Raw genomic sequence first — 23,463 nt, 5'->3', positions numbered from 1 at the left:
GGGTGGGTGGAGGAGAGGAGAGGGCTCCAGGGCATCCAGAGAGCAGTGTGAGTGCGTGGAGGAGAGGAGAGGAGAAGGCTCCAGGGCACCCAGGCAGAGGTGGGAGCGGGTGCCTTCTCGAAGACTGTTCGGGATCCTTCTCATCTGGACACACACATCCTTGGAGTCTAAGGCCTCCTGGTTTTGAGAAGGCACCAGGCTAAGACAGGGGCGGGCAGGGGATGGCCTTTGCCAAGGATCCTGGCGCTGCCTCCCTCCGTGACAAAGCATTTATTTTTGACATTAGAAATGGAAATATTCAACGTATGCACAGGTCAATTAAGAGAAAATTCTGTTATACTTTAACTGAAATAGATACTGAGTAGCTTAAACAGAATCTAACCAAATTGACTTAGCTAAAATAGATCCAGGAGGATCTGCTTACTGATTAAACTTTTTTTTTTTTGAGATGGAGTCTCGCTCTGTCGCCAGGCTGGAAGGCAGTGGCGCCATCTTGGCTCACTGCAACCTGCAACCTCCGCCTCCCGGGTTCAAGCGATTCTCTTGTCTCAGCCTCCCAAGTATCTGGGATTACAGGCGCCCGCCACCACGCCCGGCTCATTTTTGTATTTTTAATACAGATGGGGTTTCACTGTGTTGGCCAGGCTGGTCTCAAACTGCTGACCTCAGGTTATCCGTCTGCCTCAGCCTCCCAAAGTGCTGGGATTACAGGTGTAAGCCACCGCGCCCAGCCCCGATTAAACTTTTATGTATTAAAGTGGTTATTGAGACAATTCCTAATCTTGTCTCTAAGACTGCTTTGCCAAGAGAAGAGGAAAAGAGACCCATTCATAACCCAAGCACGCCCCACATAAAGCTACAAGATGGCGGAAGAGATGTCACCCAGTGAAGCCTTGCTGGCCGTGGACTCGTACCTTGGGGCCCCTGGTCTCCTTCAGGCCCGTCCAGCCCTGCTCCTGCCGCGCCTTTGTCTCCTCTGTCACCCTGGTTTCCTGTCACGAGGTGTGGACACAGACATATGGTTAGAGTATCTGTTGCAGCCACACCACAGCGGTGTCTGATCAACCTTTGTAACAAACAGGGTGCCAGCTTTTCACTGAAGTGGAAACATTTAGAAAAGTACAGATGTCACACGCGTAGGGCTTGACGGGGTCCGACGAGAGGGACCCACCTGTACACAGTCTTAGACTGCAGGACGGCTGCAGGTGGACGACGCACCGCATAGGTGACAGTGGTCCCTTAAGATTATCATACCCAATTTTTACCATTCCTTTCCCGTGTTTGGATGTATTTAACACAGATACCCACCACCAGGTTAGAACCGCCCACAAGACCCAGCCCAGTAACAGGCTGTGCAGGTCTGCAGCCATAAACCCCAGGCTCTGGCACACGGCCCAGGGGTGCAGGAGGCCGGGCTTGCGTAAGTGAACTCAGATGTTCCACAGTGAAACCGCCCAGTGGCACAGCCGTCAGAACCTATGCCTGCTGCTGAGCCGTGCACGGCTGAACCACCTCCCTGACCTCTGGCAGCCAATTTAAATGGGATTTTAGTTTTGTTCAAAATATTTATGCCTATTAAGCAGTTGAGTATTTATTAATATTTTGTAATCATGTTTTAAATGATTTTCCACCCATGGTTCACCTAAGGGCATTTTCACATCCCTCTAATTGCGTCATTCAAATCTTACATCTGTGTTTTGCCTGGCTAATTTTGTATTTTTAGTAGAGGCGGGGTTTCACCATGTTGACCAGGCTGGTCTTGAACTCCTGACTTCCAGTAATCCACCTGCCTCGTCCTCCCAACGTGCTGGGATTACAGGCATGAGCCACCGCACCCGGCCATTCCTCACATTTTTTTTTTCTTTTATGGAGACGGAGTCTCGCTCTGTCGCCCAAGCTGGAGTGCAATGGTGCGATCTCAGCTCGCTGCAACCTCTGCCTTCAGGGTTCAAGAGATTCTCCTGCCTCAGCCTCCTGAGTAGCTGGGATTACAGGCGTGTGCCACCATGCCCAGCTAATTTTTGTATTTTTAGTAGAGACAGGGTTTCACCATGTTGGTCAGGCTGGTCTTGAACTCCCGACCTCGTGATCTGCCCACCTCAGCCCCCCAAAGTGTTGGGATTACAGGCGTGAGCCACCGCGCCCAGCCTTCGTCACATTTTAAATCAATCCCTCCCTGCCAAATATTGTTCTAATGGTATTTGAGAAAAACATCACATGTTAAAAATGTTCCAGTTCCCACAGGATTACCAAGGAGTTAACTGCGCTAGGCCCCAAAACATGAGAGGCCCCCACGTTCCAGGGGTTACCCCTGAGGGCGCATGGCAGGCACCAGAAGCAGCGCCTACTAACAAGTCAGTCTCAGGGATTTTTACAGCAGGGTGACCGTGTCATGGGGTCAAACACTCACCTCTGGGCCCGGGGTCTCCCAGCTCCCCAGTGGGACCGCGGTATCCAGGGGGTCCTCGAGCGCCAGGGTGACCAATGGAGCCTGGGGGTCCTGGGGGCCCAGGGGGGCCAGCTGGACCGGGCCGACCAATGGACCCGGGTGCCAAAGGCTTCCTTAGGTGCGCGGCTAACTGTGCAATTTGTTCTTTGGGAAAACAAGGGTGCAGGCGTTTACTCGAGAGAGGATCATCAGAAGTATTGTTACGTAAAGCATAAAATATCTACACGGTGCTGTCTTCCAGAAGCAAGTTTTCCTTCTGATTGATGGAAAATGGTTTAACTGCTTTGGGGTGATGAATGCTGGAGCTAGAAAGGACCCCCAACCCCTTGGAGCCTGAGAAGCCTGAGTGGGAAGGTGAAGGAAGTGCCCTTGGGGGTGTTTAGGGACCTGCCCTGCCAGCCACAGGGGCACACTCCGCTGTTCTTGTACCCATTGCATTCAGCAGGCTTTAGGGCGTCTGCTGCGTGCTGGGAATCTGGTTGAATCCGGGGCGGGAGCGTGGGCCATCCTCTAGCGCAGAGGACAGGCAGACGCCAAGGCGGACGTGGACCCCCAAGGGCTAACAGGCGGGGTGAGTGCTAGGGGCTCACTTTGGCTGGAAAGCAGTGGCACGAAGGCTTTCTGTGTAGCCCCAGGCACGGGACCCCCAGGCGGGGATGGGCCCCGCTGCAGCCGGTGCACGTGGCTGACTTACCGCTGATCATCCCCCCACACAGCTCCCTGATGCGCTGCTCGCTGGCCTCCTTCCCCTGGAATTCACCCCACACATTCGTCAGCATGGGGGCGGCAGCCTCGGTGAGGCATTCCCACCGTCACCCCGCAAAGTAACTTCCTTCCGGAAAAAACACGATCTCAACCCTGTGAAAGCTGGAAAAGCCGGAAAAGCGACGTACCGGAACTCCCGGCTTCCCCGTGATGCCAGGAACACCCGGGACGCCCTGCAGGCCCAGAGGACCGGGGGGCCCGGGGACACCCTGAACACCGCTGGTGCCGTTGGGACCCTGGGTGCCTTTGGGGCCCAGCTCCCCTCGACTGCCAGACTGCAGAGGAACAGAGGAAGGTGGGTCAGGGGCGAGCCCAGGAGCCCAGAGCCACCCCGACGTGCTCTTTCCCAGCCGGCACGGAGCCGTCTTGCCCAGCCTTGACCAGAGCAAGCTTTTTTACATCTCGGATCTGGGCAGTGCCCTGCAGGGCTGCCTGGTTGCCCAGAGGTGGGCAGGAAGCCAGCAGGCGCCCATGGATGGTGTCATCGGAACAGTCGCCGGGCACTCACCTCTCCTTTGGGTCCGACCAGGCCGCTGGGACCCTGTGAAGAGAAAAGTTGTGTGTTTGAACTAAGTGTATTGTTGGGTGGGTGGGAAGTAGCCAGTTGAGGATAAAATAAATCAAATCATCCACACACCTGCTATTAGACTACATCCAAATATTGACAGTGGTTCCTTCCGTTCTTCTATATACATTTTTTATATTTCTGTGATTGCACTGATTGATTGAAGCTTTTTAAAAACTTACTTTCCTGGGAAGAGTGACTTTGTTAGCTGCACGGTGCTGTCTCTTACACACGCTTACTTTGCTTCCATTCCTTTTTCTTACTAACACGCCTAATGCTGGGCTGAACCTCTCTGCCCTAAAACCCTGGAACCCCCTCCAGCTGGGTCCTCAGGAATGACTGGCCCCAGGTGCGTCAACACACAGTCAGCCGGGTTAATGTCTCCTCCAAAACACATGCTGCAATTGAACGGCCACTGCACTGCAATGCTATTAAGAGGTGATTAGGTTTGAGAGCTCGGCTCTCCGGAGTAAACTAACACCGTTGTCTCCGCAGTGGGTTCCTCATGAAAAGGATGGGTTGGGCCCCTTTCTCTCTCTGGCACCTCCTCTTGGCCCTTCTGCCTTCCACCATGGAATGACGCAGTGGGGAGGCCCTCGATGGATGCACCCCTCGGTCTTGGGCTTCCCAGCCTCCAGAACTAGGAGCCACATGGATCTCTTTCCCTTGTAAACTACCCAAGCTGCGGTGTTCTGTTACAGCTGCAGAATACAGACTGACACAGTCTAACCGCACAGCAGAGGGACCGACCGGGCCCAGACAGCATGCTCCGCGGAGGCCAGGAGGGTAGGGGGTCACCTCACACAGCCCGACCGTGCGAGTAGCTGAGAGCAAAGCCTTAGGTTTTCCGCCTGCAAGGGGCTCTGCCCCTCACCCCACCAGCAACAGTGGCCACGTAGGGCAGCTTCTGGGATTTCCAGGGTCCATTTGTCAGTGTTGTCTAAGAATTCACTAAATGGGCTGGGCGAGGTGGCTCACGCCTGTAATCCCAGCACTTTGGGAGGCCAAGGCGAGCGGATCACAAGGTCAGGAGTTTGAGACCAGCCCGGCCAACATGGTGAAACCCCATCTCTACTAAATACAAAAATTAGCCGGGTGTGATGGTGGGCACCTGTAGTCCCAGCTACTCGGGAGGCTGAGGCAGGAGAATCGCTTGAACGCAGGAGGCAGAGATTGCAGTGAGCTGAGATCACACCACCGCACTCCAGCCTGGGGACAGAGCAAGACTCCGTCTCAAAAAAAAATAAAAAAAGAATTCACTAAATGAAACACATACAACTGAGGTCTTTTGTCCCCAGGCATAAAAAGTTTACACTGGGCTGTGGGGGTCTGCCAGAGACTGGGGTCCCTGGGGCTAGGCTGTTTCTATTTCACCCAGACGCAAAGGAAAGACTTAATCATAGATGAAAACCCCCCTCGGGAAAGCCAGAAAGGCCGTCCTTCCCTCGGACTCACGACTGCTCCATTTGTTACCTCCAGAAGGAGAAATGTGCCTATCAAGGGACTCAAACAAGAACGTAATTTTATGCTTCACCTGAGTTTTAGGCCTGTGGAAGTGGAGTTTTCTTCAGTTAAAAACCAGCTGTGGGCCTGACACGGCGGCTCACGCCTGTAATCCCAGCACTTTGGGAGGCTGAGGCAGGTGGATCACCTGAGGTCAGGAGTTTGAGACCAGCCTGGCCGACATGGTGAAACCCCGTCTCTACTAAAAATACAACAATTAGGCCAGGGGCGGTGGCTCGTACCTGTAATCCCAGCACTTTGGGAGGCCGAGGCGGGCAGATTGCCTGAGGTCGGGAATTCGAGACCAGCCTGGCCAGCATGGTGAAACCTTGTCTCTACTAAAAATACAAACATTAGCTGGGCGTGGTGGCAGGCGCCTGTAATCCCAGCTATTCAGGAAGCTGAGGCAGGAGAATCGCTTGAACTGGGAAGGTTGCAGTGAGCCGAGATGGCGTCACTGCACTCCAGCCTGGGCGAAAGAGCGAGACTCCATCTCAAAAAAAAACAAACAAAACCCCCCAAAACACAAAAAATTAGTCGACTGTGGGAGGGCCTATAATCCTGGCTACTCAGGAGGCTGAGGCAGGAAAATCGCTTGAACCCAGGAGGCAGAGGCTGCAGTGAACCGAGATCGCGCCACTGTGCTCCAGCCTGGGCAACAGAGCAAAACTTCGTCTCAAAAAAAACCCCCGGCCGGGCGCGGTGGCTCATGCCTGTAATCCCAGCACTTTGAGAGACCAAGGCGGGATGATCACGAGGTCAGGAGATGGAGACCATCCTGGCTAACACGGTGAAACCCCGTCTCTACTAAAAATACAAAAAATTAGCTGGGCATGGTGGCGGGCGCCTGTAGTCCCAGGTACTTGGGAGGCTGAGGCAGGAGAATGGCGTGAACCCGGGAGGCGGAGCTTGCAGCGAGCCGAGATCGCGCCACTGCACTCCAGCCTGGGTGACAGAGTGAGACTCGTCTCAAAACAAAAAACAAGAAACCCCAAAAAACCAAAAACAAAAAAACAAAAATGCAGCTGTGACTGCTTCATGCAGGTGCCACTCCACGGGGCAGAGTGCGGGAGCCCACACGTCTGAGCACCGGGTCAGGTCAGACTCCAGAGCCGCTGAGTTTCCCTGCCAGGCCCTGCCCACTTGCTAAGGGATGGCCAGTGGCCAAGGCCTCTGCCCGACCCTGCTCCATCCCCACGCTGCCCAGCAGAGCTGCCGATCTTCCACCGGGAGCTGCAGATTTTGACCCTGTCCCCAGGACTGTTCCCCAGCCACAGTGGCGACCTCGCTCCCAGCTGTTGGTAACAGTGAGGTTACCTAATTACTCACCAGTTCTCCTTTATCCCCAGGAAGACCGTCGGAACCTGCAATACCCTGAAAACGATACACCCCAAAGTTAAAAGAGCTGTTCATGCATGAGTAGGGACTTCATGCCTTAAAGTCCCTGCTCTCAAGCCTCCGTAGGTGTAATGTTCATCTTAAGGTCGAGGCCAAAAGCCCAGGCCCCAGGGCTGCCTTTTAACCCGCTCCAAACACAGCCCTTGGGAGACCTGCAGGCAGGGGCGGGGCCAAAAAACGGAAGACATTTGTTTGCATAATGAGGCTTTTCTGCCAAGCAGAACCTGCGGTGGGGGTTCGATGGCTGCAGGCCCTCCAGCGGTATGGAAAGGCCTTGTGCCTAGAAGTGAGAGCAGGCACTGCAGGAGGGCGGGGCAGCCACGGCCATGGCCCCACCCACCCTGACACTTTTCCAAAAAGAAGAGTGCTTCGAACAGCAGAAATGCATTTCGAATCTGCCTGCAAAACACACACGCAGAGCCTAGCCCCTGCCCTCTGTCAGTTCTCCGGAAGGATGGCAGGACACACCTCTGTCCCTTTGAGAGTTCCCATTGGTGCCTCCTGGACTAGAAGCAGCTTCTGTTGCACCCAGAGCCATGCAGGGACACTCTGGCCAGCTGTTTGCACCCAGGAAGGCAGCGGCGGATGCCGGGGCGTGCCTGGGGGCTGGGTGCCCAGAGCTGCTTTCGCTGTGCTAAGCAGGAGGGGCAGGAGCCAGAAAGGGCGACTGACAGACACGGCAAGAGGAGAAAGGAGGCTCAGTGTCCCGAAAACACAGCCAGGGCCAGAGCCGGGACAGGAGGAGCCTGGGAGAAGCTGTGCAGCTTTGCCTTCATTCCTTTTGCCCCAGCCTGTGCCCAGCTCACCTGGTCTCCCTTAGGGCCTGCGGCACCTCCCGGACCCTGGATGTGGAGAGAAGGCTCTGGATTAGAGGAATGGCAGGAATCCCTAAAGTGAGCCTGCCCTGGGCCCAGGAATGGTAAACACCTCCCCACATCTCCATCTGTGCTGCACAAAGGGCTTCTGTGAACACCGGCTCCCAGACACAGGCCCAAAGGCCAAGCTCACGTTCACAGCCTCTGGGCCCGATGGCTCTGTCCAGCCTCCCCTTGTGGGTAGTGAAGTCCCGTTAGGTTTGCACTGTTTGTAACACCCGTGAATTCGTGCGGGTGTTTCTGCACAATTGCAGGATAATTCCGTCACAGTAGAGTCAAAGATGCAAAAGCTCATCTAATCACCTTCCCCCGGCATTGTGAAATGAGGACATGTCTGGGAGTTGCTATGAATCCCTTTAAAAAATGTCCATTTGCTCACATGGCCACATAAGTGAGAACTGGCCCAAAGGGCAGAAAAGCAGGAGACTTTCCCGTGAGTTTAAAGTGAAAGGGAAATTCAGCCACCAGGCCCCACCCACACCTGGGACAGGCGCAGTGCCCGCAGGGCGGGTGCCAGCCCTGCCATCTCTCGGAGGCCCTGAGGTTGCTGGCATGGCCCCCACCTCTGGAATGTCCTGCCTGGAGGCCAATAAACAGCCCGCTATCCCCCATGGGGTGGTGGTGTCCACAGCCCCGGCCATCACCCTGGAATGACCATCACCCTGGAATGACGGGGCATCTGCAGCCGTGTCCTGGAGGCTTCTCGGGATTGACATCTAAAAAGGGGTCTGTCTGCCCAGCAGAGGTGGCCACAGCAGGCACACGAGGTCCCCAAGGACCTGGTGGAGCATGGCTGGGGCCCAGACCAGACCCACAGGCTCCTTCCAGTGAGCTGGGGCCCTGGGTAGGCCGTGCCCCGCTTCTGCCCGGACCCCCAAGGAGCTAATGCTGCAGCTGCTGCAAGACCAGCAGGAAAAAGTCTTGACGAGGTAGAAGCTGTGACCGTTACAGTCACTTGGGACATGGTGTTCAAACCTATTTTATAGCAACGTGATCCTCTGTCAACCGCGCCTCCGCAGACACCCGCTAGGCGGGAGCAGGCGTGGCTCTTGAGCCTCAGCCTCCACGCCAATCTCGAGGAATGAACACTGACCGTGTGCAGGTCCCGCCAGGCGTCTACGCAGGGCAGGAGGCAGAGCGGCCCAGGCTCCCGCAGCCTCCCACCCACAAGGAACACCACGTGGAAGGTCAGAGGGGCCAAAGGCGCCACAGTCGGGGCCCTGATGCCACTGCCTCCGCCACGCAGGGAGACACTGCCCATGGCCAGATTTCCCACTGGGAGCTGCAAGGGCCTCTCCCTGTCTGCGTCCCAGGGGACTGTGGTGGGGGGTGGGGGATTGTGGTAGGGGGTGGGGGACTGTGGTGGGGGTTGGGGGACTGTGGTAGGGGGTGGGGACTGTGGTGGGGGTTGGGGGACTGTGGTAGGGGTTGGGGGACTGTGGTGGGGGTTGGGGGACTGTCATGGGGGTGGGGGACTGTGGTACATGGGTAGAGGGGGTGCAGGGGAGCTTCCTGCTGAGAGGGCCACTTACCCGGTCGCCCACGTCACCTCGGAGGCCCTGGGGGCCTGGAAGGCCGGGGTCTCCCATGCTGCCCTTCTGGCCCTGGGGAAGGAGGTCCTGGCTCGTCAGTGCCCATACCCTGTCGGGTCTGGCCCGTCTGGGTGTGCCGCCCCCCATGCCAGGCCCTTGCCCCAACCTCACCCACCTGGAAGCCTCGGACACCAGGGGCTCCGGGAGGGCCTTGTGGGCCGAGGGCCCCCTGGAAGACAAAGGTGAGGTGTGAGCGGATGTCTCAGGGTTCGAGGAGTCCCCAAGAGGCCCCAGGGAGCCTGGCTCAGCCTTCCCCCAGAGTGGGTGGACACAGGAGCCGGTTCTAAGCCACCTGGCTGGGTTGCTGGGGACAAAGGCAGGGCTACCTCCCAGGGCAGTTTAGGGGGTCTCAGAACTCAGGCATACCCTGGACCCAATTTGTCAGGCCAGACTCGGGGCCAGGCACCCATGCCCCTGGCTCCCCCCACCAGGGCCCTGTGGCTGGTGCTGTCATTATCTCAGTCTATGGGGGCACAAGGCTGGGCTCAGCATAGAAGGCTTGAAAACAGGGCAGCTCCGGCCTGGCCCCGACCGTCTCCCAGCGGGTGAGGGACAAGAAGATGGGGCCCCACACCTCCTGGCATCCTAGGCTTTTGTGGGCCTGGCCCATCAAGGCAACCAAATGCCACCCCGGCCTGCTCAGAAACTGGGGCCATGTGCCAATGGCTCAGTGCTAACCCCCGACCCCGGGCCATGTCCCTGCACTCACCGCTGAGCCCCGGTGGCCAGCCTCACCGCGCTCCCCAGGCATGCCAGCATCTCCCTACAGGGAAAGGAAGGAGGGTGTCAGGGCAGGGTCTGCACACAGGCTGGATGGGGAGGGGTCTGGGGCGCCGCAGATACTCACAGGGACGCCTGGCTCTCCAGAGGGGCCGGCCTCACCCAGCTCCCCAGCTCTGCCCTGTAGAGGAAGGAGAGCTGTGAGTGCCTGCCTACACCTGCACTGGGGCCAGGTCGCTGGCCCCCCAGCCCCTTGCCTCCCGGCCCCTCGCCTCCCCTCCCAGAGAGAAAGCGGCTGCAGCCACATACCCGTTCTCCCTTCTCGCCTTTGGACCCCGCTCGTCCAGGGAGGCCCTGCCAGGAGAGAGCTTGCGGTCAGGGCTGCCAGTTACATTGCACGCCGGCAGCAGCACCCAGGGGCGTGCACGCAGGCAGGGTGCAGGGGCCAGAGTGAGTGCACCCAAAGGCAGGGCCAACTTCTCCCAGCCTTGTGGACCTGAGGTGCGGCTTTGACAGCCTCCCTGGCCTTGGATGCAGGAGCCCCTACTCAGAGCCCATGGGGGTGATGACCGCACGGCATCCAGGGATGGCCATCAACATGTTCACACATGTCCCATGTACACACGAATAAGCACACACATGCAAACATACAGGCAACCGTCCACAGCACCCACTGGGCACCAGGGGTTGTGCCAGGCCCTGATGGACACAGGCCCCAGAACCCCTCACAGGGAGTCGGCCCTACAGTGACCAACCCACCCAGCCCAACATGGGCCACTGAGCAGGCAGAAGCTGTGGCGCCCCAGGCTGGCCCCACCCGCCGGGCACTCACCGGCAGCCCGTTGGGGCCCTTCTCTCCCGGAGCACCGTTGCGACCAGCCTCTCCCTGTGAGGACAGAGATTGGGGTGCGGAAGGGGAGGCTGAGGCCTCGGGAGGCCGAACTCCCCTCCAGCCCCCTCCCTCCCGTCACACCCTGAGCCCCATGCCAACCTTCTGGCCATCGAGTCCTGGCACGCCATTCTGGCCGTCCTTGCCCGGCATGCCCTGGGGACAAGGGATGAGTAAGGCCCGTCGGGCAGTGGCCCCCCTCCCTCCCTCTACAGTCCTGCCCTGGGGGCAGCCTCCTTCCCCATCAACCTAAAACTGTGTCTGCCCCCACACCCTGGCAGTTATCTGGTTTCATGACCAAGGTGGCCGTGTGGCAACCAGTGCTGCCTCGGTGACCGCACAGGTGAGGGGTGCGGGTGGGTGGCAGAGGCGGTGCTGATGCAGTGCTGACGCCCGAGGCCTCGTCCACCAGGCACATCATGGTGCCCTAAGGAAGTTTGGTTCTGGCCCATTTTACGGTGGGGAAACTGAGGCCTTAGGCCAGGCCTGCCTCGTCCACCCTGGACTGGTTTTGGAATCAGGACACAGCCAACTGCTGGGTGTCCCAAGACAGGGCACTACTCCGGGGCAGAGGCAACACGAGGGGCTAGAAGGGAGCTCAGGTCTGGGCTGAGGGTGGGCACCCAGCAGGAAGGAAGGTGCCCGCATGGGTGCCCGGGACCCTGGGAGTGCCCACCTCTGCCCAGTGGTGCTACCCACCCACCCTTACTTCCCGTGTCCTCTGTGCAGGTAAACCCAGCCTGAGGCCCCTACTCCTGCACACTCGTGAGGCTCTGGGCAAGAGAGAAATGTGTGGGGCTGCGGGGCTGTTCCACCGTTAACCCAGATTTCAAGATGGCCACAGCAGAGGGCACTGAGCTCCAGCCCTTCTGAATGCCATCTCCACCTGTACATACCCAGGACCCGGGGGAGGAGCATTCCATGAGCAGCCACGTGCACTCACCGGCTCTCCGCTTGGCCCGGCCACTCCGGGGGTTCCCTTGGGACCAGGTCTGCCCTAGAGGACACACAAGTGACAGAAGCAGTGGCAGTCTCTTCCCAGACGGCCTCACGCATTCTCCGGCCAGCTGCTCGGGGACACCAAGGAGCTATGGTGGGCAGCGGCAGGGGCCACCCCCGACCACCACCCTGGGGCCTGTGGGTGCGTGGAGAAAACTGTGTTTGGATCCACAGATGCTGCAGGACGGCACGGCGGCTCCCTGCACTCCGGCTGCCAGGGCTCAGTCGAGGGAGGTGTGGAGGCTGACCAGTCTGGGGACGGTCACTTCAGTTCCACTCCTGGAACGCTTGGCTGCCTCTGGACTTTCCTTATGTTCACTTGCTCAACCCGAGAGCCGTTTTCTCTGGGGGCAGGATCCAAGCCCTGGAGCCTGGTCCCTCCACCCGGCTCGTGGGCCGCTCTGCAGGGGGCCACAGAGCTCCCATGTGGCTCTGGGAGAACGGCTGGGGCCAGGGAGAGAGCTCGGGCCCTCCAGGGTCAGGCTCACCCCCACGCACCCCCAGGCCCACCCAGGCAGCCCCTTGCAGTCTCACTCCCAAGTGTGTCCCCCTCCCCAGCACGAGTCAGGAGGGAAATTGGGTTCTTCCACATAAGGACCCAGGGAACCAACTTCCCTCTCACTTACGAGGTCACCCTTGGGGCCGCGGAACCCTTCTGGGCCCCTCTCGCCTCGGTCACCCTGGAAAGGATGAGGTGGGGCAGGGACAGAGTTAACACCATGGAGTTGGTCGGAGAGTAGGACGGGGGCCCCTCCAGGCCCGGGCGGGGGACAGCCCTCCAGGAGTGGTCAGAGAGTGGGATGGGGGCCCCTCCAGGCCTGGGCCCTCCAGGAGTGGTCAGAGATGGCTGGAGGTGCCAGAGGGACGATGGTGACCCCTCATTCCACGTCCAGAACCAGAAAGGAGGCGAATGTCTCACAAAGAATGGATTCCATTGGTAAGCACCCCCGTACCCATGCCACAAGCCCTCCCAGGGTGTCCAGGGAACAGCTCAGCCACAGAAGAGGGGCCCCAGTGGGGCTGGGGGCGTCTGAGAGGAGCAGAGGGAAAGGGGAGAGAGGTCACGAGGCATGGCGCCCACCGTCCACTGACACACGTACCGCTTTCCCAGGCGCTCCTGGGATCCCAGGCGGCCCTCGGAACCCAATGGGACCCTGCAGAGGAGAGAGGGGATCCGGGGTCCTCTTGTCTGAGGCCTGGCTGGCATCCCCCCAGTGCTCCCTCAGGGGCGGCCCAGACACAAGCAGCCCTTCCTCTAGGGCTCCCCAGCAAGTTCCCCCAAGATGCCACCTAGTAGTCTCCAAATCCCTGCTTCCCCTCCTGCTCTGGCCTAAGCCACAACAGCCCTCACAGCAGCCTGGGACCGTGTGTGTGGGTGTCAGCGAGCAGAGTTCATCAGCCCTCGCCCGGGCACACGCGTGAATAGCCCTCACAGCAGCCTGGGACCGCGTGCGGGCATCAGTGAGCGCCGACTGTCAGCTCTCGCCCAGGCACATGCGAGAACAGGGGCCCAGAGCAAGGCCTGCGCCACAGTGGCGATGGCCAGAGCCAGGGTGCCGGCTGCTTCAGAGTGTCACTCACGGGGCCCATCTGAAGTCTGGAGGTGCAGACAACCAGGCCCCCAGCCACCTGGCCGGCCCCCACTAGGGGCTGCAGGACTTACCCGGTCCCCAGGGGGCCCGAGTGGCCCTGGCAGTCCTCGTAATCCCCGGGGGCCCTGCGAGAGAGAGGCACAGATGCAGAGGCTGGGGCTGCACCTCCACCCCGGGGAGCACCCAGGGCCAAGGCCCTCGGGGTACCCCTGGGAGCCCTGGTGTCTTCCATGAGCCCTCAGCCTCAGCTCAGGTCCCCCAGAGGGAGGGGGCACCAGCCTTGAGGTCAGCAGCCTTGGCAGAGGTGGGACCCCCAGCCAGGTCGCGCTCCTGTGCCTGGGTGTTGGCCAAACACCCCCCAGCCGGAGCTGGCCCCCTCGGGGGTAGATATGTGCAGGGCTTGATCACTCTGTGGGCTGAGTTCCCATCCCACCATCCTTACCCCTTCCTAGCCTCACCTGCAGCCCCACGCTGCCCGGGAGGCCGGCGGGCCCAGGGGGGCCAGGGTCACCCTGAAACAGAGGGGATAGGGTGGTCAGCGGCCCAGTCTGGCTCTCCTTGCACCTTTCGGTGCCTCCAGTCACCCTACTCAAGCCCAAGCAGCTGGGGGTGTTGCCCCCTTCACAGCTGGGCCTTGGAGGCTCTGTGAAGGGGACACTTGCCCACAGTTCCAGAGCAGTCCCGCGAGTCTCGGTGGCCTCGCCCTGCCGGGCCGGGGTCCGTGGTCACTGTTCCCACAAGGCCCTTCAGCCCTGTCCAGGCCCCTCCTCGTGGCCAAGCAGGGACCCCTCTGATGTGCACCTGGGGTCTCCTCATCTGATCACTCCAGCCACGCTAAAGGGCATCCCAGACCTGGTCCCCCGGCCTGCAGGTGACCATGGACAGACACCCTCCACGGACAGCGACCACAGGTGAGGGGAGGCTACAGGCTAAAGCCAGCCATCCTCACAGATGCCCCTCGCCCCGGCCACAGACACAAACCAGGGAGCTTCCACAGCGAGGCCAGGCAGGACGGGGTCTGTCCAGGGACCCTGCCTAAATCACCCAGCTCTGACCAGCCAGGCCCTGTCTGGAAGACAGGCACAGAAGGTGCCAGTGCAGGTGCACCCATGAAACGGTCCCTCCCCACCGCCGGAGCCCAGCCCCTCCCTCCCGCCGGAGCCCAGCCCCTCCCTCCCGCCGGAGCCCAGCCCCTCCCTCCCGCCGGAGCCCAGCCCCTCCCTCCCGCCGGAGCCCAGCCCCTCCCTCCCGCCGGAGCCCAGCCTCCAGTCCCCAGCTCCTCCCCAGCTGCTGTGCGGCAGCTTCACCTTCTCGCCGTCCTTGCCGACTTCCCCCTGCTCGCCTTTGTAGCCAGTGGGTCCCTGCAAGCAAATGTGGGGTCACTGCCCCACCCAGACCCCCCGACACCCCCTCCCTGGCAACACTGAAGTGAGGCCTGCAGGGTCAGTCAGCCCAGGGCCCGCCACACGGCAGCGCACAGGACCGCGGGTCTGGGCCCTCATGGGGAAACTGAGGCCTGAGAGGCGCTAGGACCCACATGAGGGCGCTCTGCGGTCAGGAGCGGGCCAGGGCTGGGCTGGGGTGGGAGCTTGAGGCTAGCTCTCCCCCGCAGTCTCTGACGCCTATGGCCAGTCCCAGCCTGGCCACATCAGCGTGTCACTGGGGTGCTGAAGGCGGGACAAGGAGGCTGGCCTAGCTTTCTTCCTGGGGCAACCCTGGAACCAGGGTCCAGCTTTCTGGACCCGCCACCTCCACAGCCCCATGGGAGCCCAGCTGCCTCCTGCCCAGCACAGGGTGGTGCTTGGGTCCCAGTCACCCGTGACTCACCTTGAACCCTGGCATTCCAGGGGGCCCTGGGGGACCTGGCGGGCAGATACTTGGGCACTGTCGGAAAACAGAGCAGTCAGACCCCTCCCAGCCAAACAGAGCAGGACGTCCGACGCAGGGGTCAGCGCCCGCGGGACCCCAGGAGGCCACTCTGCACGGTGACGGGACCCCGGGAGGCCACTCCTCATGGTGACAGGACCCCAGGAGGCCACTCCGCATCAGTGACGGGACCCCAGGAGGCCACTCCGCACAGATGATGGGACCCCAGGAGGCCACTCCACGTGGGTGACGGGGCCCCGGGAGGCCACTCCGCGCGGGTGTCGGGACACTCTGGGTGACAGGACCCCAGGAGGCCACTCCACACAGAGACGGGACCCCAGGAGGCCACTCCGCGTGGGTGACGGGGCCCCAGGAGGCCACTCCGCGCGGGTGTCGGGACACTCTGGGTGACAGGACCCCAGGAGGCCACTCCACACAGTGACGGGACCCCAGGAGGCCACTCCACACAGTGACGGGACCCCAGGAGGCCACTCCGTACAGGTGATGGCACTGGGACAGGACACAGACAGGGTCTCCTTCAGCACTGGCCAAGTGCAGCAGGGGCTGCATGGAGCAGCCGGCCCCACGGCAGACACTGGCTATCAAAGCAGCCATTCAGCACAGTCCCGGCCGGCACTGCAGGGGGCCTTGCAGCAGCCTCAGGTCGGGCCCATCCTCAGCACAGGAATGTGCTCGGCATGGGGCTTTTAGGAGGGGCACTGTGAGCCCAGGCAACAGGTCTGATGCTCAGGAAACCCAGGGCTGCTTCTAGATGATCCTACAGCTGCAATGGGCAGGCCAGGCCAAGGGTGCAGACCCGTATCTTCAGCCCCTGCCCCACTCAGCCCACGATCGGGGGCCCAACCACGCACCACATTCTGGAAGGTTCCCTAAAGCCTCCCTTCTGGGACACAGGCTGGCCAGGCACCTAGGCCCCGGGGTGGGGTGAGGAGAGAGGCTGGTAGACAGCGTCGGTGGTCAGGTCAGAGTGGGCCGAGCTTTTCCCTTCAAAACTATCAAACCTCTCTATGGAAACAAGGCGCTGACTGCCACCACGGACGGCCAAACAGAGAGGAGAGATGGATCCGTGGCCTCCGAAGCCCATTTTCTTTCCTCTTCATTTTTTTGAGACAGGCTTGAGCTTGGCTGCTCACGCTGGAGTGCAGTGGCTTGATCACAGCACCCTGCAACCACTGCCTCCTGGGCTCAAGTGATCCTCCCACCACAGCCATCCAAGTAGCTAGGACAACAGGCACGCCACCACGTCTGGCTACTTTAACAATTTTTTGTAGAGACAAAGATCTCACTATGTTGCCCAGGCTGGTCTCAAACTCCTGAGCTTAAGCGATCCTCCTGTCTGGGCCTCCCAAAGTGCTGGGATTACAGGCCTGAGCCACTGCGCCTGACCTGAGCCTGTTTTCTTTTCAGGCAAATGACAAGGCTCAAAGATCAAGATAAAGGTGGGTCCCAGACTCCAGTTCTGTCGCCATCTGTGGCCAAGGGCGCCCTCTGCGGATGACGCAGGGGAGCTGGATGGCTCTGTGACATGATTGTGATTCATTACATTTGTACAGCTCCATGCGCCTGGTGGCTTCATGAGGGACAGTGCAGGTCTAGACGGTGGTGAGGAGGGTGGGAAGGGGGAGGGGGAGGTCCCAGCCAGCCTCTCTGCCAGGTTGTGCCCGAGCTGTCTGCTCTGAGCTCCTGTCCCCAGGGAGGGCTCGGGCCCTGCCTTCTTGCCAGTATGGACAAGCCCCTCTCCAGGCCAGAACCCCTCCCCCCAAGGTAGGCACCCCCCAGCACCCTTAACAAATGGCTTCAAGTGCCTACCTGAAGGTCAGTAGCGCCTTCAGGGAGGACTCCTGGGTGTCCCTAAGACAAAAAGAGACAGCTGACATTCTCCCGCCCTCCCCAGCCACCTGCAGCCACCCAACCCACCCACCCACTCTCTGACGGACCACAACCTTCCCCATCCACCAGGGGACTTGGAGACCCTTCATCCTGTCCCCCAAGTGGCCAGTGCTGGGAGCTGCTGGCCCACCCACAGGGCATGTGACAACGACAGAATCCACCTGTCCTTGGGGCAGGATGGCCATGGGGACCTGAGTCCTGACCATCCCCAAGTTGGCTGGCCTAGCCACAGCCACTGCCCCCACCATTGACTGTTCCTGGGAGTGGCCAAGTTAGGGTTAGGAGATCTCGGAGGGGCATGGAGCCTGGGGAGGGGGAATGGGGAGGGTCCAACCCAGTGTCCTAGTCCATGCCCAGCACTTCTTAGAGCCTCTGCCCAGTACTTACAGGGGGTCCGGGAGGTCCTGGGGGACCAGGGAGGCCGGGGAGTCCAGAAGGTCCCTGGGGAGGGGGTATGACTTAGACAGAGTGGGACCAGCCCCCACCTGAGTGAGGTGCCCGGCTTCTCCCAGGGAGGTGGACACGCCCAGCTCCCACCAGCCCCCACTCCCACGGACTGTGCTGGTGTCTGCGTCCTGAGGTCGGGTCTGGATCATTGGCCAGGGCTTCTACCAACACCCACCAAGGTGGGGTTGGGGGAGAAAGGGAAAAGGGAGAGGGGAAGGGAGCCCCTGGCTGTTGAGTCTGGGGGTGGAGGCCACAGGTGAGCACACTCTGAGGGGCTCTGGGACAGCCACTCACCGGGGGGCCGCGGAGGCCGATCCCACCTGGGGGGCCGCTCACTCCTGCCTCTCCCTGGAGGGAAGTAAAGAGAGGTGGGGAGGTCTGCACCCGGAAGCCCCGAGGATCCCCACCCAGGGTTGGTGTGCCGCCTCCGAAGGGAGAGGGGCTCCAAGTATGGGGTGGTCAGATGGCTGCCCCTGAGAAGCCCCACCCCCAGGCACGGTTTGGGACATCCCAGCCTGGCAGGCTCTCGGGACTTGCGTGCTTGCTCAGGGCCCCAAGGGTTGTCAGTACTCACGGGGGGTCCAGGGAGGCCTTTGCCCTGCAAAGCCAAACATGGGGTCAGAGCCTGCCAGGCACAAGAAGGGCTGCGCCTCACCCCTCCCTAAGATGGCTCAGGTGGGTCCTGGGGAAAGGGCGGTTCCAGGGATGGGTGTCTGGTCCCAGCCCAGAGAGGGCACCAGGACCCCATCCAGGCACCAGCCTCCGGAGAGGCTGCAGATGAGAGGGCCAGGGATGGTCCCTGGGATTCCTGGAGGCCACCCCATTTAGACCAGACTCTCCAGCTCCCCAAACTCCCATGGAGAGGAGAGGACCACACTCCATACTCACCCCCAGCCCGGGCGGCCCCGGGGGTCCCAGACTTCCCTGTGGGAGGAAAGCAGGCGTCTAGGTTGGGCTGGGCCTCTATTTGCAAACCCAATCCCCTCCCTCTGAAGTGTGACGTCACAACTCCAACTCCCAGGACAACAGGGTCCAAGTCCCCACTTCACAGAGGGGCAGGGCCTCTGAGCCCTCTTGACCTGGAGGGTCTTTGCCGTCCTGGGGAGCTGCTGGAGACAGATGGCACCAGAGTCCCAGCGCTCGCTGCAAGAAGGTGCAACCTGAGGCAGGGCTGAGAGGCACCGAAGTGACCCGGGGTGCCTGTCTCCACCAGGAAGCCCTCCCGATAACCCACCCACGGAGCCTGCTGAGTCCTCAGCCCCCGCCCACGTCAGCGAGCCCCAGAGCCTTGGGCAGCCAGGCCCTGTCTGCCCTCCACACCCTCTGGGCCCTGTCTGGCCCCTGCTGCCTGAAATGCCTCATTCCCTGGACGGCACGCACGGGCCCTGTGCTGAGGCTGGAGGCCCCTCCTGAAAGCCTGGGGACCAGCCCACCCCACACCCCTGGGCACCACGGACTCGGCTGCCAGCAGCTACTGTTTCCCTCCTGTTTTCAGCTCAGAATCCGCCTCATGCCTGACGAGCTCCCAAGGGTCCCAAGGGCAGGGCTGTGTCCTCGTGTCCCCAGCCCAGCCTTCCTGCCCTCTGTGATGCTTTGCGCCTGGGGCCAGTGGCACCCGGTTGGCTGACAGCCACGTCTTATGAAGCCAAAGAGAGAATGCTGGCTTCGGGTTTGTACTCAGAAGCCACAAGGGGAGAAAGGCACCCTTGGGTGGTGGTGCCGCTCCGTCAGGGTAAAGGATTCAGTGTCCAACAGGCAGGCACAGGGGACTCTGCAGGCTGCGTGCCCGGGGGTCCCTGGTGGTGGTCTGCCCAGGGCCCTGGGGGCTTCAGGGACATTCTGAGGAGGCACCTGGGGTGGGTTCCCCCAAACCATCCCCCTTCTCCCTGCCATGGTCTGGATACCAGGACAACTCTGACCATACGTGGAGGTGAGGCAGGGAGGCAGGCACAGGGGACTGGCCACTTGGCACCCTGCCCTTCTGCCCCTCCACCCCAGGCACGGGCAGGGCAGCTGTCCTTGGAACTACCAGCTCCTTGGCCTTGTGGACACAGAGCAGCCAGAGGTGGCCAGGGGACCTCACCTCTGAACCCAAGCCACTGGGTTCGGCGCAGGCACTTACCCGTTCCCCAGGGGCACCCTTGGGTCCAGGGGGTCCATCTCGTCCAGTCAGACCCTGGGGAGAGGCAGAGGGCGAGCTCGAGGGGCCACATGGGAAGCACATGCCACCCCCCAGGCAAAAATGGAAGCACGGACCCTTCCCTTGGTGAGTCCAGAGAGGCATAGAAGACCCTTAGGGTGGCAGCCTCCTCTCTTGGCCCTGTCCACTGTCTGCCTGCTGTAGCCAGAGGCTCTGGGAGGAGGGAGGGGGCAGCCAGCGGGAAGCCAGCAACGGAGGCACCTGCTGTAGTCAGGCCTCGGGGACCAACCCAGCAGGACTGGACAGCTCACTTCTCAGGCCCGGCTTCCTCCGAACAAAACTCCGTGGCCCTGGGGCCAGGCCTGGAGCCCAAGATGACTAAGTGAGGCCAGCAGTGGGCAGAAGGTCCTGACAATGGGCACTCATTCCTGGACAAGCAAGGAGGGCTGGCGGGACTTCCGACTCCACTGGGCTGGCTCTGTCCCCTGCCAGATGCTGGTGGCGTCTGGGATGAAGGCCAAAGGACCCCTGTTGGGGACTTCTGGAGACTTCTCTCAGGACTGGGCTTCCCGCCTGAGCAGGCCCAGCTGGACAACAGCAATTAGGGCCGGACTCCTCCAGGGACCCGGAGCGGGGAGTGGGGCATGGCGGGGAGGGGCAGGCGCACTCACATCCACACCCGGCAGTCCCGGCAGCCCAGCCTCTCCTGGTTTCCCCGGCTTTCCTGGGGCCCCCTTTGGTCCCTGTGCAGGAGGAAAGGGCAGAGATGTGAAGGCGGGGTCTGGCCTGGAGCCCAGGCCTTCAGCAATGAAGCAAAATGCTTTCCACTTCCCCCCAGCCCAACCATACGGGATGGGCCCCTCTCCTGGGTCCCCCCTACTGTCTGGCAGACCCGGCTCAGCTGGGGCACGTGTGTCCTGCTTGCCCACACCTTGCTGGCCCAGGAAGGCTGCCCGCCCCATCCCTCAGTGGCATCTGTAAGACCTTCGTCTGGTCACCTCGGCCTCCCTGGCTAAGGGCCAGCAGGCATCTCTGTCGGACCCCCAGTGGGCCCAGACAGGGCTCTGAGCCCCAGGACCCTCAACCCCTGGAACTGAAGAAGGTGGGAGGGCTCCAGGTGACCTCAGGCCTGGGGGACCTGAAGGGCTGTACCAGCCCCGGTCCCGGCCTGCCTGGCGCTGGTCCAAAGAAAGCTTCAAAGCCAGGCCCTGCCCTGAACATGCAGAGGCTGAGCCCACACACTCCCCTCCCGCCCCGCTGGCTCCAGGCCTGCTCCAAGCCCTCTGAGGCCTCCCCTCAGGCAACCCGGGCTCCGGCAGGATGAGACAGGATATCAATGACCCCTCTGTTCTGAGTTCCCCCTTTCTCTCCAGACTGGAAAAAGGCTGTCTCCCCAGCCAGGGACACTCACCGGGGGCCCAGGCAGACCTGGAGGACCAGCTTCTCCCTGTGAGGAAAGACACCCACATGTAACCCTGAAAATCAGGGGTCCCTCAAGAACCCCGCCTCGGGGAAAAGAGCAGCGCTGGCCTCCAAATCAGCCCCAGAGGCCCAGCCCCAGCAGACAAAAGGGGCCCCTGAGCCCCCGATCCCTACCTAGAGGGCACCCTCCCATGTGTGGGGCAGCACTGGGCAAAGGGGTGAACTGGACAGACTGGAAGGAGGCTGTGGCCATTGAGGCCGAGCTGGGCAGGGGGGCAGAGGGTGGGTCATGGGGGGCTCTTGGTGCAGCCCTCCACAGCCCTCCACGGGGACCACACAGCGTGGACAGGCCCTGAGGGGACTCCTGCCCTGGTGGTGGTCACATGGGGAGGTTCACCCCAGACGGTCCCTCCGAGGGAGGCACAATTGTAGAATTTCAGCCGCCTCCTCCTGCTGCTTGGCCCACACCAGTCCTGAGATACCCATAGGGGACATCATCTCAGGACTGAGTCGGCTCCTAAGCCCCCTCCATGGCTGGCTCCAGAGCCCAGCAGCCTCCAACAAGACCCCCGGCCCCCAACCACCCAAAGGACGTGCCTCTCCCCACTTCAGCCAGAGGCCAGAACCCCGAACACAGGGGCACGGGCCCCTCAGGGGACCCAGAGACACACACCTCAGTGCCGGCATTCTGGGTGGAGGACCACCACATGACACCCTCCACCCCTACCCACCAGCAGTCCCCGCAGGGCCACCCCCATCCCGTGAAGGCACTGGCTGTCCCCTGATGTCACCCCGGCTCTGGGAGGTGGGGCCTGGTTTTCTCTCCATCAGGCCGGGGAGCTCAGGGAGGTGGGGGCCAGAGCCAGAACCCCAGAGCGCTCGGGGCCCTCCCCACCCCCAAACTCACGTCAATGCCGTCCTGGCCGGGCTTCCCGGGCGGCCCTGGGGGGCCGGGGGGGCCGGGGAGTCCCACTCTCTGAAACGGAGAAAACTCATTAAGGAGCGCAGGTGCCCCCGTGGGCCTGACCCGGCGTCCCCTCCTCCCGGGTCCCGAGCGGCTCCGGGGCCTGCGACGACCGCCGCTCTCCTCGGTGAGACCCAAAGCCTCGGGCGGAGCCCGGCGCCCCCGCGCAGTGTGTCCCCCGCCTCCCTCCGGCGGCGGGAACAAAGGCCCCCTTGTGCTCCCAGAGGAGGCGGCGGCGCCGGCCGACCCGGGCCAGCGAGGACCCATCGAGGACGCGGCCGGACGGGGCTCATCCCGAGGCGCTGGCGACTCCGCGCCCCGACGGCGACACGGGCTGGGGGCGTCGAGGCTGCGCCGGGCACCCCGGAGTGGCGGGTTCGGGGCTGGGGCGGTCGCGGCTCCACGTCCAGCCTCAGAGCCCGGAGCTCGCGCTCACCTGCGCCCCGGCGGCCGCCAGAAGCTCCCCGAGCAGGAGCAGGAGCAGGAGCGGGGCGCACGCGCGCGGCCCGGCCATGGCTGAGCGGAGTCTGAGCTGCGGCGTCGGGGCGGGCGGCGCGCGGGCGGGCGGGGCGGGAGGTGGGCGGCCCCTTCCCCTTCCCCTTCCCGCCCCCGCCTGCACAAGCCCCCCATTCAGCCGGGCCCACCTGGGCGGGGGGGCTTCCACCCGCCCCGCGCCGCCGCCCAGCCCGCCTGGGCGAAAACAAAAAAGACGCCGGGCGGGCGGCGCGTTCTCTCCGGCCGCGAGTTAAAATTATCCTGGGACTGGCGCGTTGCACACACGCAGCTTTGAGCAAGAGAGAAAGACGCTCTTTTCTCTCCTTGCTCCTCAACCCGAGTGTGGGGGCGGAAGCGCGCGGCGCTGAAGGGCCGCCTTCAGGGAGGGGCAGGGGAGACCCGCGAGTTTCCGAAGCCGCAGACCCCTCCCCAGGCGCCGGAGCGGACCCAGGCGACCCAAGGCCCAGGAACACCCCGGGGAGGGTGAATCCCCGGTACCAGGGCCCGGTCAGTGCCCAGCGCAGCCCTGGTTCCCGCTCCGGGGTCACTGTCCAGCGCTGCCTGCTGGGCTGGGAGCACCCCCACCGCGGCCCCTCACCCGTGGACCTGGACGGGCCGGGTGGTCAGGCCACGTCAGTTGCTACCGGCTAAGACCAGACTCCAAACCCAGACTCCCAGGAGAGATCGCAAAACGATGACCCTGGCCGAGGGGAAGAACCCCTCCCCGGGATCCCCGGCCTGAAGGAACCGTGCCCTGGGCAGGAACCTGAAGGCGGTGCTGGCCATGTCCATTTCCCAGAAGCTCAGGGGTCGCCAGGTCCGGCCAAGCTCTGCCTCAGGCTGCCAGGGCAGTCGCTGCCCTAGGGGACTC

At 61.9% G+C, this 23,463-nt stretch overlaps 1 protein-coding gene across 5 annotated transcripts in view, besides 13 other annotated features; it reads right to left on the bottom strand.

Annotated features, from left to right (window-relative positions):
- The window catches only part of COL9A3 (collagen type IX alpha 3 chain), a 24,947-nt gene extending 1,484 nt beyond the window's left edge, over positions 1-23,463 (bottom strand). Inside the window, exons 1-31 of one of the 5 annotated variants that reach the window (XM_047439894.1) lie at positions 23,359-23,463; positions 22,041-22,109; positions 21,123-21,158; positions 20,383-20,454; positions 19,694-19,747; positions 18,460-18,495; positions 18,146-18,169; positions 17,866-17,919; positions 17,512-17,565; positions 17,044-17,085; positions 15,175-15,231; positions 14,655-14,708; positions 13,806-13,859; positions 13,419-13,472; positions 12,856-12,909; positions 12,382-12,435; positions 11,700-11,753; positions 10,859-10,912; positions 10,700-10,753; positions 10,177-10,221; positions 9,995-10,048; positions 9,857-9,910; positions 9,263-9,316; positions 9,088-9,159; positions 7,487-7,522; positions 6,612-6,656; positions 3,723-3,755; positions 3,343-3,489; positions 3,144-3,198; positions 2,411-2,593; positions 915-992 (exon numbers count right to left, since the gene is read on the bottom strand). In XM_047439894.1, the coding sequence (XP_047295850.1) occupies positions 915-992; positions 2,411-2,593; positions 3,144-3,198; positions 3,343-3,489; positions 3,723-3,755; positions 6,612-6,656; positions 7,487-7,522; positions 9,088-9,159; positions 9,263-9,316; positions 9,857-9,910; positions 9,995-10,048; positions 10,177-10,221; positions 10,700-10,753; positions 10,859-10,912; positions 11,700-11,753; positions 12,382-12,435; positions 12,856-12,909; positions 13,419-13,472; positions 13,806-13,859; positions 14,655-14,708; positions 15,175-15,189 (1,303 nt within the window). In that variant the 5' untranslated portion in view covers positions 15,190-15,231; positions 17,044-17,085; positions 17,512-17,565; ... (6 more) ...; positions 22,041-22,109; positions 23,359-23,463. Of the gene's footprint in view, positions 1-914; positions 993-2,410; positions 2,594-3,143; positions 3,317-3,342; positions 3,490-3,722; positions 3,756-6,611; positions 6,657-7,486; positions 7,523-9,087; positions 9,160-9,262; positions 9,317-9,856; positions 9,911-9,994; positions 10,049-10,176; positions 10,222-10,699; positions 10,754-10,858; positions 10,913-11,699; positions 11,754-12,381; positions 12,436-12,855; positions 12,910-13,418; positions 13,473-13,805; positions 13,860-14,654; positions 14,709-15,174; positions 15,232-17,043; positions 17,086-17,511; positions 17,566-17,865; positions 17,920-18,145; positions 18,170-18,459; positions 18,496-19,693; positions 19,748-20,382; positions 20,455-21,122; positions 21,159-22,040; positions 22,627-23,358 lie in introns of those variants that run through there. The other 4 variants (NM_001853.4, XM_047439893.1, XM_047439895.1 and 1 more) reach the window with 4 other exon arrangements.
- Positions 2,688-3,887: an enhancer, noted in NCBI's record as "MED14-independent group 3 enhancer chr20:61467141-61468340 (GRCh37/hg19 assembly coordinates)". NCBI's record gives its function as "activates an origin of replication core promoter dependent on BRD2, BRD4, P300/CBP and CDK7 cofactors, and independent of MED14, by STARR-seq in HCT116 cells {active_cell/tissue: HCT116}" and the evidence as "EXISTENCE:reporter gene assay evidence [ECO:0000049][PMID:35650434]".
- Positions 5,411-6,366: an enhancer, noted in NCBI's record as "H3K27ac-H3K4me1 hESC enhancer chr20:61464662-61465617 (GRCh37/hg19 assembly coordinates)". NCBI's record gives its function as "activates a minimal SCP1, AML or CMV promoter by ChIP-STARR-seq in primed H9 embryonic stem cells {active_cell/tissue: H9 hESC(primed)}" and the evidence as "EXISTENCE:reporter gene assay evidence [ECO:0000049][PMID:30033119]".
- Positions 6,367-7,323: an enhancer, noted in NCBI's record as "H3K27ac-H3K4me1 hESC enhancer chr20:61463705-61464661 (GRCh37/hg19 assembly coordinates)". NCBI's record gives its function as "activates a minimal SCP1, AML or CMV promoter by ChIP-STARR-seq in primed H9 embryonic stem cells {active_cell/tissue: H9 hESC(primed)}" and the evidence as "EXISTENCE:reporter gene assay evidence [ECO:0000049][PMID:30033119]".
- Positions 6,489-6,538: an enhancer, noted in NCBI's record as "active region_18216". NCBI's record gives its function as "activates an Ori minimal core promoter by ATAC-STARR-seq in GM12878 lymphoblastoid cells {active_cell/tissue: GM12878}" and the evidence as "EXISTENCE:reporter gene assay evidence [ECO:0000049][PMID:35858748]".
- Positions 7,019-7,068: an enhancer, noted in NCBI's record as "active region_18215". NCBI's record gives its function as "activates an Ori minimal core promoter by ATAC-STARR-seq in GM12878 lymphoblastoid cells {active_cell/tissue: GM12878}" and the evidence as "EXISTENCE:reporter gene assay evidence [ECO:0000049][PMID:35858748]".
- Positions 7,324-8,279: an enhancer, noted in NCBI's record as "H3K27ac-H3K4me1 hESC enhancer chr20:61462749-61463704 (GRCh37/hg19 assembly coordinates)". NCBI's record gives its function as "activates a minimal SCP1, AML or CMV promoter by ChIP-STARR-seq in primed H9 embryonic stem cells {active_cell/tissue: H9 hESC(primed)}" and the evidence as "EXISTENCE:reporter gene assay evidence [ECO:0000049][PMID:30033119]".
- Positions 8,280-9,236: an enhancer, noted in NCBI's record as "H3K27ac-H3K4me1 hESC enhancer chr20:61461792-61462748 (GRCh37/hg19 assembly coordinates)". NCBI's record gives its function as "activates a minimal SCP1, AML or CMV promoter by ChIP-STARR-seq in primed H9 embryonic stem cells {active_cell/tissue: H9 hESC(primed)}" and the evidence as "EXISTENCE:reporter gene assay evidence [ECO:0000049][PMID:30033119]".
- Positions 14,418-14,477: a silencer, noted in NCBI's record as "silent region_13126". NCBI's record gives its function as "represses an Ori minimal core promoter by ATAC-STARR-seq in GM12878 lymphoblastoid cells {active_cell/tissue: GM12878}" and the evidence as "EXISTENCE:reporter gene assay evidence [ECO:0000049][PMID:35858748]".
- Positions 15,066-15,753: an enhancer, noted in NCBI's record as "H3K27ac-H3K4me1 hESC enhancer chr20:61455275-61455962 (GRCh37/hg19 assembly coordinates)". NCBI's record gives its function as "activates a minimal SCP1, AML or CMV promoter by ChIP-STARR-seq in naive H9 embryonic stem cells {active_cell/tissue: H9 hESC(naive)}" and the evidence as "EXISTENCE:reporter gene assay evidence [ECO:0000049][PMID:30033119]".
- Positions 15,754-16,442: an enhancer, noted in NCBI's record as "H3K27ac-H3K4me1 hESC enhancer chr20:61454586-61455274 (GRCh37/hg19 assembly coordinates)". NCBI's record gives its function as "activates a minimal SCP1, AML or CMV promoter by ChIP-STARR-seq in naive H9 embryonic stem cells {active_cell/tissue: H9 hESC(naive)}" and the evidence as "EXISTENCE:reporter gene assay evidence [ECO:0000049][PMID:30033119]".
- Positions 20,324-21,011: an enhancer, noted in NCBI's record as "H3K27ac-H3K4me1 hESC enhancer chr20:61450017-61450704 (GRCh37/hg19 assembly coordinates)". NCBI's record gives its function as "activates a minimal SCP1, AML or CMV promoter by ChIP-STARR-seq in primed H9 embryonic stem cells {active_cell/tissue: H9 hESC(primed)}" and the evidence as "EXISTENCE:reporter gene assay evidence [ECO:0000049][PMID:30033119]".
- Positions 21,012-21,697: an enhancer, noted in NCBI's record as "H3K27ac-H3K4me1 hESC enhancer chr20:61449331-61450016 (GRCh37/hg19 assembly coordinates)". NCBI's record gives its function as "activates a minimal SCP1, AML or CMV promoter by ChIP-STARR-seq in primed H9 embryonic stem cells {active_cell/tissue: H9 hESC(primed)}" and the evidence as "EXISTENCE:reporter gene assay evidence [ECO:0000049][PMID:30033119]".
- Positions 22,386-23,071: an enhancer, noted in NCBI's record as "H3K27ac-H3K4me1 hESC enhancer chr20:61447957-61448642 (GRCh37/hg19 assembly coordinates)". NCBI's record gives its function as "activates a minimal SCP1, AML or CMV promoter by ChIP-STARR-seq in naive H9 embryonic stem cells {active_cell/tissue: H9 hESC(naive)}" and the evidence as "EXISTENCE:reporter gene assay evidence [ECO:0000049][PMID:30033119]".

The sequence above is a fragment of the Homo sapiens genome, chromosome 20 (genome assembly GCF_000001405.40).
Source record: "Homo sapiens chromosome 20, GRCh38.p14 Primary Assembly".
Taxonomy (NCBI): domain Eukaryota; kingdom Metazoa; phylum Chordata; class Mammalia; order Primates; family Hominidae; genus Homo; species Homo sapiens.
Note: the sequence above shows the minus strand (reverse complement) of the source record. Positions and strands in the feature narration are given on the sequence as shown.